The 12268-nt window shown below is 43.8% G+C and overlaps 1 protein-coding gene and 1 pseudogene across 6 annotated transcripts in view, besides 1 other annotated feature; one reads left to right on the top strand and one right to left on the bottom strand.

The window, feature by feature from the left end:
• Window positions 992-1501: an enhancer, noted in NCBI's record as "active region_20319". NCBI's record gives its function as "activates an Ori minimal core promoter by ATAC-STARR-seq in GM12878 lymphoblastoid cells {active_cell/tissue: GM12878}" and the evidence as "EXISTENCE:reporter gene assay evidence [ECO:0000049][PMID:35858748]".
• Window positions 4110-4835, top strand: RPL10P7 (ribosomal protein L10 pseudogene 7; annotated as a pseudogene).
• Window positions 10490-12268, bottom strand: part of PLA1A (phospholipase A1 member A) — a 31927-nt gene continuing 30148 nt past the window's right edge. For all 6 annotated transcript variants that reach the window (NR_120610.2, XM_017006572.2, NM_015900.4 and 3 more), the window contains 2 exons: window positions 11436-11600; window positions 10490-10917 (listed from right to left, as the gene is read on the bottom strand). Coding sequence is in view for 5 of the 6 variants with exons in the window: in XM_017006572.2 (XP_016862061.1) it covers window positions 10833-10917; window positions 11436-11600 (250 nt within the window). In the remaining variant the exon portion in view is untranslated. The remainder of the gene's footprint in view (window positions 10918-11435; window positions 11601-12268) is intronic.

The raw sequence follows: 12268 nt of genomic DNA, 5'->3' as shown, positions 1-12268 counted from the left end.
CACTCCCTATTGAAATGATTATCCTATCCCTACTAGTGTTCAGCTTATCCTTTGTGACAAATCAAATTTTCCTATAGATGTAGGTCTGTTTCTGAATTTTCTGTTGTCTGATGGTTCTATTTTTCTACCCTTTGGCAGTACCATCTGGTTGTAATTATTGTAGCTTTACAGTAAGTTTTGATATCTGGTAGTCTTCAAACTTTCTTCTTCAGCTCCATTATAATCTTATGGGACCACCATATGTGGTCCATTGTTTACCAAAATGTCATTATATGGTGCATGCCTGTATATTCTGAATTCGACTCACAATCTCTACTGCCACCGCTAATTTCAAGCCACCACTACTTCATTCTAAATTAACTTCAATGGACTTACAACCAGTCCTTCTGCCTCATAACCTACACACAGTAAAGAGGTCATTTAAACATATACAAGATCTTATCACTCTCTGGCTCAAAATTTGAAATGACTTCCTATCCCACTTAGAATAAAATCCAGACTTCTTACCATGTGATATTAGTCAGGATTGACTTATTATTACTTAAAAGCACAAAGTTTTATTTCTCTCTTACTCAAAATCTGAGTCTCCATGACTCATAATGGGCACTCCAGCCTGGGCAACAGAGCAAGACTCCATCTTAAAAAAAAAAAAAGTACACTATACATTGTAAATTGAGATTCAACATAACCTGGATGTGGTGCCACTCCCCAACCTGGAGGATCACCAAGGCAGGGCTGTCATTACACACCTGTGGTGTATAGCAGTGGTTTCTCAAGATGAGGACCTCTTTTAATCCCTTTTCCCCACCAAAGAATCAGACCTTACGTAGTGGAAGTTGTGCTTTTATTATCTAATGGTGTATGTAAGGCAAAAGACATTTGGATTTCAATAGGATTTTTAGATAAATTTATAGGTTTTAAAAATTAGCCACAACAGTCTCTTTATATGTTTGAAAAATAGCATTACATATATGTATAAAGCAAAAACCCGTGAGAGATCCTGGGGAGAAGAATTGCCTGGAGGGGGAAATTGAGTCCATCTCCAATGTTCAGCACCTCTTCTCTTTCTATTTTTGACCCCCTGGTTTCCTGTAGACATCCACACAAATCTTGAGGTAGAAGTGAAAACAATGCTGTCAGCAGTTTCACGTCTGTCACCATTGAATTCATGCCCTGACATGTGCCTCCTACTCAGAAAGTTATCTGGTGATTATATCACTTCTGTGATATCATCCTTCCTGAAAGTGTCCTTACCCAGCACATGACCACCAACTGTCACATGATTGCATCACTGCCACAGGGGAGCCCAGGACACAGCACACAAATCGGATTAGTCCAGCCTGTAAACTAAGCCTTTGCTTAATAGCCTGGAATTGCCCTCCACCCCTCAGCCCTCAGGCCTGAAATCCTATTCAGCCCTCAAACCTAGTACACATGTCCTCTCCCTACGCACACTCTCCTGGCCTTCACCTCGCCCTCAGCATTGAACAATCCCCTTCAGGACTCGCAGAGCCCTCTGGGATCGCCCCCCTCAGCTCTCATCCCTCGCTAGGCACTTGAGGGCTGGGGAAGTCTTACTTATTGCTGTGGCCCCAGCACCCCACACAAGGCCACATGTGTGACATTTAGTTGGTAATTCTTTTTTTTTTTTTTTTTTTTTTGAGACGGAGTCTCGCTCTGTCGCCCAGGCTGGAGTGCAGTGGCACGGTCTTGGCTCACTCTGCCTCCCGGGTTCACACCATTCTCCCGCGTCAGCGTCTCGAGTAGCTGGGACTACAAGGCGCCCGCCACTACGCCCGACTAATTTTTTGTATTTTTAGTAGAGACAGGATTTCACCATGTTAGCCAGGATGTAGTTGGTAATTCTTAAATGTTGGTTAAACTCAGCTGTTACCTGCTAGTAGGACAATTCATGTGCCCCATTCTGGCAAGGGTAAGGTTAACACTTGTGGTTTTAGAGACTTCTAGTTCCACTTTCCAGTTTACTTTTGCTTCTCTCCCTATTCAAACCAGCAGGAAAAGAGAGTAGTAGTTCAGGAGTTGTTGCCAAAATCCAGAGCCTTATCGGGGGAATACACAGGAAGGGACAGACCTCAGATGCATTTTAAGATATTGAGAGACAGAGTCTGAGTATAAATCATATACTGGGGGAAGGAGGCAAATGGCTTAAAATACTTTTTTTTTTTTTTTTAGCACTGTGATGTTCTGAGTCAAAGATGACTCAGGCTTCAAGCCTGGATGATTGGATCATGGTGGCAGCTATTACCGTAAAAAGAGGAGGAACAACTTTGGGGAAGATGTTGATTTGCTTTTGGATGGATTGAGTTTAGACTGTTGTCAGGACACTAAGTGGACACATAATGCAAACAGTTGCTTTCATAGATGAGGGTGAATGCTAAGGATCAGAGAGGATTCCAAGGCCTTCCTGGGGCCTAGGAAGACTCAGGCACTGGGATACTCTCATCACCCCCATACTCTTCTTAAGGGGAAGAAACCTACCTCCTCTGAGATGGTGGGGCAGAGGGGAGTTGTGATGGTCATCCCAGGGCTTGGGGTGTGCCCAAGAGTGAGATCAGAGATGTGTTTGAGGCTGTGGGGAGCAGCGTATGTCACTTTCAGAATGTCAGACTTGGGACCACTCAACAAGGAGATCAAGGGCTGGGTGAGAATTCAGCAATTATGGAAGATTTATGTTTCAATATAATATCCTTTTTCCTATAGAGATTTAAAACTTTTAAAATGTAATATTGACACATAAAATTTTAAAACAAGATGAGTATGTGAAGGCCATTCCTGACACTTATGAAAAGACATTAAGCTCTCCTTTAAAGTTAAGCCTCTCTGTGCCTGACCTTCTCTCCCTGCCTTTGTCTATGCCACTAAGATTACTGCCTTTAGTTCAATTCAAGGAGCTTTTATTGCATGCTTACAATGAATTATAGTGTTTTGGGGACACAGCGAAAGAGAAAATATAGCCCCTGCTTTTAAAGACCTTACAATCTCATCATAGAGGCCTGACATACATGCAGTAAGCTATTAACCACCATTGCAAGGCAGCATAGTTACTGACTGATAGAACATACGGGTGACCAGTTTCCCTGGGGAAGATAGAACTGGAAGTGGACCCTGAATCATTGGTAGAATATAAAAGTGGGGGTGGGTGGGAAGGAGAAGGAGCAAAAAGGCATGGAGGTGACATTGACCATAGTATGTTTTAGGGGAATGCTGGCTTCAGCACACTGGGGAAAATGGCAGATAATTTTTGTTAGGCAGAGTAGGGCCAGACTGAGGAGCCCTATTTAGCTAATACGTCTTAGTTGCAAGTGCTAAGAACCAACGTGAGCAGGCTAAACTGTATAACATGGTGGTTAGAGCTCAGATTCTGAAGTCAGATGGCCTTGGTGTGAATCCTGATTTTATCTATTGCTGACTGTAGTGGACAAGTTACTTAATTTCTTTGTCCCTGTTTCCTCATATGTAAAATGAAGTAATACATGGATTCACTGGGAGGATTAAATAAGATAATTTGTGTAAGCTAATTGGAACTTTACTTGGCACATAGTAAATGTTCAGGAAGTTTTATCTTTTTTGTTGATAATGTTGACAATGTTGATAATTATGATGACAAAGCAAAGGAGAATTTATAAGGACACAGGGGTGTCTTATGGAATTCAAAGTCAGAAATGCCACTAGATTTTAATATGGGACTAGATCAGAAAGCCATCAGGGAAAGCAGGAAGCTGTCAGGGACCCAGTCACCATCTTCTGTTTCTGTTTCTCTTAGGAGAACTGCAACATGTTTCTGTTTTCCAACAGAGCAGTCTTCCCTGTTTCTCTGTTCTCATGGTGGAATATGTTTGCCCTCAGCTCCTGAGTTCACATGGAACAATTCCAACAACCAGAAGACAAGTACGGCTGCCTCTTAGTCATAATTTCAGACTTTCAGGAAGGAAATCTACCTTGTCCAGATTCAGTCAGCTGTCTACTTCTGGTCCATTAAGCTGGGTCTGAGGACAGGGTCATGCAGTACAATTGGGGCTGCCCATCTTCTAGATGGGGGTCAGTTCTTAGAGAAAGGGATGACTCTTAAGTTCAAAAGATATCTCAAGCTCTTTCCCTTTCGTGTGCCACTGAAGATTCTGGTGTCACCATGGGCCGCTGCCCCACCCAGTGTTACCATTATTGTAAGAACAACACAAAGCCTCTCTTCTGGCGAGGTGTTGCTGATGCCGAGATTCCCATCTTTGACCTGGGGTGGAAGAAGGTAAAAGTGGATGAGTTTCCACTCTGTGGCCACATGGTGTCAGATGAATATGAGCAGCTCTCCTCTGAAGCCCTGGAGGCTGCCTGAATTTGTGCCAATAAGTACATGATGAAAAGTTGCGGCGAGGATGGCTTTCATATCCAAGTGCGGCTCCACCCCTTCCACGTTATGCACATCAACAAGACGTCCTGTGCTGGGCTGACAGGCTCCAAACAGGTATATGAGGTGCCTTTGAAAAGCCCCAGGGCACTGTGGCCAGGGTTCACATTGGTCACGTCATCGTGTCCATCGGCACCAAGCTGCAGAACAAGGAGCATGTGATTGAGGCCCTGCACAGGGCCAAGGCCAAGTTCCCTGGCCACCAGAAGATCCACATCTCAAAGAAGTGGGGCATTACCAAGTTCAATGTGAAGACATGGTGGCTGAGAAACGGCTCATTCCAGATGACTGCGGGGTCAAGTACATCCCCAGTCGTGGCCCTCTGGACAAGTGGTGGGCCCTGCACTCATGAGGGCTTCCACTGTGCTGCCCCTCCTAAGGCCCAACAATAAATCCTACTTTCTGTCCACCTGAAAAAAAAAAAGACACCTCAAACTGACTAGGAATCTACTACAGCAGTGGTCCCCAACATTTTTGGCACCAGGGACTGGTTTTGTGGAAGACAATTTTTCCACAGACCAGTACAGTGCTGGGACAGTGGTGAGGGGGATGATTTTCAGGATGAAACTGTTCCACCTCACATCATCAGGCGTTAGTTAGGTTCTCATAAGGAGAGCACAGTCTGGATCCCTTGCATGCACGGTTCACAATAGGGTTCACACTCCTGGAATCCAGTGCCACAGCTGACCTGACAGGAGATGGAGCTCAGGTTTAATGTTCACTCACCCAGGGGTTGAGGACTCCTGTACTAGAGCACTCTAGCCTTCTGACCTGAGGAATATGATTTTTAAGGCAATGGTATTCATTTAGGAATTCCAACGTCTGGTAAACGACCACTGAGGTCTCAGGATATGAGTGAGAAAATGAGTGTATTCTATACTTTAGGCTCTATTGAGGATAATGTTAAGGAAAATTCCACTCCAAATTTGTCTCTGAAATAGATCTTTGTGGTCCAAGAGTGAAGATAAGTTATGCATATGTAGCAGAATATCATTTTGATATATTCACCAATGTAAATTTTTCCAAGAATTGTCTGTGACCCTGTGACTCTATCCTTTTTGGGCAATAGGTCATGAAAGATCTGCTGCCTCAAGGAAGATCGACAGAGCAGAAGCAAAAACAAAAGGGTCAAGGCAGATTTGTGGCTTTAGCTGTTTTTAAAAATGATGTAGAATAATATCTGATCGAGAAAGACAATAAAGATTAGAGTAGCAATTATCACACTAGAGACTGGAAAACCAAAGTTGGTTCCTCAAAAAGATCAATGAAATTGCCAAATCTTTATCTAGACTTACCAAGAAAAAAAGAGAGAAGACTTAAATTACTAAAATCAGGAATAAGAGAGGAGGCATCATTACTGACCTTATAGAAATAAAAAGAATTATAAGAGAATACTGCAAACAATTGTGTACCAACAAATTAGATAAATAAAATGGACAGCTCTTAGAAAGGTACAAATTACTGAAATAGATTCAAGAGAAAAAGAAAATCTGAATATATCTATAACAAGTGAAGAGATTAAATTAGTGAAAAACTACTCGCAAAGAAAAGCCAACACTGAGATGGCTTCAGTGGTTAATTCTGCCAATAATTAAGCCTTAGAAGTGAAAATACTTCCTGGGACCATTTATTTATTCATTTTCTAACAAATATTCGAGAACCTACTGTGTGCTAGGGACTTGGAGTACAACAGCAGACAAGACAAAGTCCCTGTTGGTCAAGGGCTTGATTTGTCATGAGATTTGTAATCAAGGCACAGTTTTGTGAGCTGCTGGCAAGGGAAACTATTGTGAACTCACAGAGTCCACATAGGACTTTATGGAACGCTGGGTTTGTGTGCCAAACAACTGTTTATCTGACTGCAGTCACCTCCATCCATGCTTCCATCTCCTCTCCTCTCCCCTGTCCTTCTACTCCCACCTTTTTCTCGCTCTATTGAAGCAGCCAGCCCTGCTATTCAGAAGTGGGTACGCATGTCCTCTTTGCTGTTAACCACTCTGCAGTTGCTAGAGAATCTCACACCTGTAGGACACAGGAGTAGAAGGTCTTTCCTACGTCTATTCTCAAAGTGTGGATCATCAGACCTCGAAAGAGGCTAGGAAGTCATCTTCTCCCTTATCAACCCATCCCAGTCTCTCTCTGACATCTTGTGCTCCAGATGTTGGGGACAGCATTCCAAAATGCTGCTGGAGTTGGGCTCTCTCCTACCTGTCACCAAGCTGTGCAGTGGGAACCAAGCTCCCATAGCCTCTAGTGTAGAGGAACCTTCAACAACATTCATCTGAAAATCTAGTGATGGTTAATACAGGCATGTCCCCTGGGGTCTGAATATTTTCATTTCTTTTTTTTTTCTTTTCTTTTCTTTTTTTTTTTTTCCTTCGAGACGGAGTTTTGCTCTTGTTGCCCAGGCTGGAGTGCAATGGCACAGTCTTGTCTCACTGCAACCTCCACCTCCCAGGTTCAAGCAATTCTCCTGCCTCAGCCTCCCAAGTAGCTAGGATTACAGGTGCCCGCCACCATGCCTGGCTAATTTTTGTATTTTTAGTAGACAAGGTTTCACCATGTTGGCCAGGCTGGTCTCAAACTCCAGACCTCAGGTGATCCACCCGCCTCAGTCTCCCAAAGTACTGGGATTACAGGCGTGAGCCACCGCACCTGGCTGGGTCTGAATATTTTCTGTAAGAAACACTAGCATCCCTCTCAAAGGCCCTATGACCTTTTTTTCATCCTTCACAACTTTCTTCCTTAGCCAACTGAGGTTTGTCTGGGTTCACAGTCAGCTGCACTACACAAGCTCGGCTGGAATGCCCGGCTCTGGGAATTGACAGCTGGCTCACCTGGCTGCAAGGCCAGTTTCCTGGGCATGCGACCTGTACACCTGGGCACAGGGCTCCACTCAGGCCCCACACTTGGTTTCATGCTCTGCTGTCACCATCTTGAAATTCTCAACTTTTTAAATAAGGAGCCTGCATTTTTATTTTGCACTGAACCCTGTAAATTATGTATCCAGTCCCACAGGGTTGCATTGTGGACCTTTAGGGGCTACTTCTGTGTCATGTTTCTGAGTCTGGTTAGAGTGGTGATTAATCACCTGGCTCTGGGGCGGACAGCTGGCATTTGAATCCTGGCTCCTTTACTTACTAGACCTGTGATCTTGAAGGTTCCTCAGCCTCTTGATTTCTTTATCTATAAAGTGGGATAATAATAGCATGTATCTCATAGGCTTGCTGAGAGGATAAAATATGTTAATACATATGAAACACTCAGAATGGTGCCTGGAACATAGTAAAAAGCTGTGCAATGTTGGATGTTTTTGTTGCGTGCCTATTCCAAGGTCACATTGTTCTGTATCTTACGGCAGTGTATCTTGCACTTGGTGGTGAATCTGCCTGTTGAATTTAATTAGTTCTGTAATAGTCTCTGTTCATGAAAAGACTGCAGCAGAGTGAGCAAAGTGGGTGTGGAAGGGAGACCCAAGTTCTGCTTTTGTTCTGCCATGGAGCAGAGTTCCGTGTTAGCTCTCCCTTTCCCTGACCCCACAGACATCCCATCTACTTAAAGCCATGTTTCCCAAAGTGTGGGCCACGTGCCCCTGGACAGGATGATTTTAGGTACCACATAGACCCAGCATTAAACAACATTCCATCTCATAGACAGTTATGCATTTTTTTATATCCTTTCCATCCAGTGATTACATATAGAAAAATGTTTCCATTCAGTGTTAATAATTTTTTTTTTTTGAGACAGAGTTTTGCTCTTGTTTCCCAGGCTGGAGTGCAGTGGCTCGATCTCGGCTCACTGCAACCTCCACCCCTCCGGGTTCAAGCGATTCTCCTGCCTCAACCTCCCGAGTAGCTGGGATTACAGGCGCCTGCCACCACGCTCGGCTAATGTTTTGTATTTTTAGTAGAGACAGGGTTTCACCATGTTGGCCAGGCTTGTCTTGAACTCCAGACCACAGGTGATCTGCCTGCCTTGGCCTCCCAAAGTGCTGGACAACACCGTGCCTGGCCAGTGCTGATAAATTTTTAACATCTCTCACATACTTGCAAATTTCCCCTTTGTAGTAAAGAAAAAATTTTGCCTCCTGAACATGAAAGGAAAAAAAAAAAAAAAAGGAAAAAACAGGCCCAGGACTTAAGCCTGCATCAGACCACAGTATCTAGTTGGAATGTTAAACATTATAATGTTCTCATTGTATTTGTTTCTAGGATTAATTTATGAGTAGAGAAACTGGTTTTTCCATGTAAGGTAATAATCCAAAATTTCTGACGGAGCAAAGTAACATGTGAGAAAGTCTAACAGTGTTTAAAAATAAGAAAATATTCGCAAAGAAACCCAGGGCTATGGCCAAAAGCAGAATGGAATTTGAGGCCACTGAAAAACAGATTGAGTGAGTTTAACACCAGTTAGCATCAACATCACAAAACATGATTTCTTGTTGTTGTTGTTTTTGAGATGGGGTCTCACTGTGTCTCTTAGGCTGGAGTACAGTGGCATGATCTCAGCTCACTGCAACCTCTGCCTCCTGGGTTCAAGCAATTCTTGTGCCTCAGCCTCCTGAGTAGCTGGGATTACAGGCATGTGCCGCCACACTGACTAATTTCCAGCTAATTTTTTTTTTTTTTTTGCATGTTTAGTAGAGATGGAGTTTCATCATGTTGGCCAGGCTGGTCTTGAACTCCTGACCTCAAGTGATCCACCCAGCTTGGCCTCCCAAAGTGCTGGGATTACAAGTGTGAACCACCGCGCCCGGCCGACAATATGATTTTCATCACAGAAATGTGATACACATTTGGAAAAAAAAGCAACGAGCAGTGGGGAAAACTAAGGAAGAAGTATGTGCTAAGCAGTGTCTCCCAAGATGGCAAATGGAAGTGCAGCGTAATACAGCTCAGGGTAAGACTGTCTCTAGGGAGGAACCTGGGTGGAGTAAAGAGAAGGAAAAGGAAAGGAGGGTTTTTGGTTTGAGGCAAAATAGAAAATTGCAAGCCTACATAGCAGGGAACATGTGTATTCTTTAGACATGACTGTGATCATGCAGACAGTTAAACATCTTCGTGAGCCTCACCTGTCCTTTTGGTTGCATTTCCAAGGCCTGGACAAAGGCCGAAGCTCTCTCAGTGCCCTGGCTGACTTGGCCCAGATGAAGTAATTGCAGCCTGTTGCTTACATCATTCTCCCTGTCTTCATTGTGGAGAGTGAATCAGCAAGTCAGCAGTTTCCTTTTAAAGCTCATTTATTTATGTTTTTTAAAAAGTGAATTTAAAGAATAAAAGAATCCGAGGCAACCTGGATTTGGGAAAGTGGTGAAGGCGTGTGCCATATCTGTTAGTTCCGCACCCCCTTCCCATCCACTCTCCAACCTTCTCTGTCCTGCTGTATGCCCCGGGCCTGGTTAGGCCATGTCAATGTGTTATTTGTCCTCTGGCTTCTGTTGGGGGTCCTTAATGGGGAGCACTAGCAGGAAAATGGGAGAGGAAGAAGAGTGAAGTCAGAGAACCTGTGCTTCTGCTCCCTCCCTGCGGGGTTGCTGCTGGCTGGCTGTGTCCCTGCACTGCAGGTCTGCAGCCTTCTGGTGCTTCCCCTCCTTCTCTGGCCTCTTCACAGGTAGGGTAGTAGCAGCTTCTACTGCCAGTAGCTTCAGGGAACTGCATTATCCCTGTGGTTGCCCCACAAAAGACTATGGCAAATTGTCCTTTTCTTAAATTCTCCTCAAATAACCCAGATTGAGCGCACCATCTGTTTTTTGCTGGGCTGCGGCTGATACAAGGTTATTTACAAAGATCAAAGTTTGGGAAACACTAACCCAGAGGAAATCTACCTGTATTCCCCAAGATCTCTCTGATCCCTCAAACCTTCCAGATATCCAGAGGAGGTAATGGTAAGGGTTGGTAAATGGTGCCATCTTCCTCCCTACCCTTCATCCCCTCTCTTTTTCCAAGTACTTCTTTTAGTTGCTATTTTAATACCGATAATGCAATACTGTTTTCTCCAATCCCACAGAGTATAAATCTCAACTTTTTGTAGGTAACAGAATTCCATTCAAGTAAAACAATTAAATGATTCAGATACTCCATGAAGTTTTATTTTTAAAAAATTGTTTACCCTGTACATGTTTCTATTGAATCCTAAGTACGAATGCCCAAGGAGATAAAGCAAGTGCAGTTAAGTATGCATGGGAAAGCTAAAATGGGTATGTACATAAGATCGGCAAAGGAAACCAAGTTCTGTAAAATGAGTTCTCCCTCCCCTCCAGGGTAGCTGATTATGAGGAAAATAAGAAAGAGCTTTGCTTTTCTCCTTAGTAGTAATGGTCTACAATAAGCTGCACACACACATCCCTCATCACACCTCTCTCTCAAAAAAAAAAAAAAAATGCAGGGAGATGTGTCCTGCCCAGGTTAAACTACACACAGGCTATCTTCAGGTCACAGGAAACAGTCACACTTGCTTGTAAGTTCACTGGTTCAGGTAAGCAGACCATCTTTTCTCTGGAAGAGAAGAGCAATAAGAGAGCAGTGGCTGGTGAGGAGACAGGGCTTGGCATTGTGTGGCTTTTGAATTCCCATGATGTCTGGTGAAAGAAATCTGCAATCACCTACAATTAAGAGCCAGTTCCTGTGGTCCAAGTGCCCAGGGGTGGTAAGGTTAATGACATAAATGCCTTTAGAGGAAGGGAAAGGGGATGTGGATTCTGGATCCACACCCATGAATGTGACCCATGACACAGTTGGAGTGGAGGCCACAGAGGAGAAAATATGCAATGAGAAAACTTTGTTCTAATAAAATCTTACATAGAAACCAAATATGCAGAACAAATACAGTGGAATTTCCCCAACCCAAGATGGTCCCACAGGAGGTTCTGGAAAACACCGGGTGTCTGTCATCTCTGCTTCTAAGATGATAATCACTATGATGAGATTGAACCTCAATAGGCAGCACATCTAATGCCAAGACTGGTCTTTGATGTGTGAGTGCATCTGGTGCAGAGGTGAATACTGGGGCTTACCTGTCATTGACAGGCAAAAGGGCAGTGCAGAACTTCCCAATAATGGTAGTCCGGTCTTTTTTCCAAACTCGGTTGGAAGACTGAAACTTGAATTTCACTTGGTTTATCTGGCATTGTGGGGTGGCATGGGCTATGATTCCTTTCCCATAGCGTTGCTGCTTAGGTCTGCAAGAAAAGGGTAAAGGGAAAGTAAATGACTGTAGCCCTTACCACCTGTACTTCCCCTTTGGCTCCGATCGGGCTCTGCTGGTGGCACTGGTTGGCTGTCATGCACCAAGGGGTTAGCTCCTTACCACAGTCCTTTGTGTCACCTTCACCAGCCCCTCTGCCCACACCTACAGCTTTGAATATGACCAAGAAAGTAGTTGTTGATTTTTTAGAATAAACAAGTGGACACTGCAACAAAATAGTAGCTCCTGGATTTTCATATCTGGAAAAACTGTTCCTCGTTCTTGGATTCCTAGCTGGAGGAGATCTTCACCTTCAGATCTAATTACCCAGAAGTAGAAACCCTCTTTTAGGACATTCCTTTTCAAAGAATTCTGTGTAAGGACTTTTCTGTTTTAGGCTAAGTATGAATGTGTGGGTGGAAACAGCAACAAGAAAACATCATGAAGCGCAGACAGAGTTGGGTGGAACCCAGGTTTGTCTTCCCAGCTGTATGGCTTTGGACAAGTTACCTAAGCTGGCAAGGTGGCTGTGGAGTCACATAGCAACTAGGTGTAAGTTCCAGCTTCCCTACATGCTGCTATGAACTTGAACCGTAGGGTTTGGTTCATACTGACTTCAGCTGAGGAGACTCAGAGTGAAAATGGCATCCAGTTCTGTCTTAA

Source organism: Homo sapiens, chromosome 3, assembly GCF_000001405.40.
Source record: "Homo sapiens chromosome 3, GRCh38.p14 Primary Assembly".
Lineage (NCBI taxonomy): Eukaryota > Metazoa > Chordata > Mammalia > Primates > Hominidae > Homo > Homo sapiens.
This window is presented reverse-complemented; position numbering and strand designations above follow the sequence as displayed.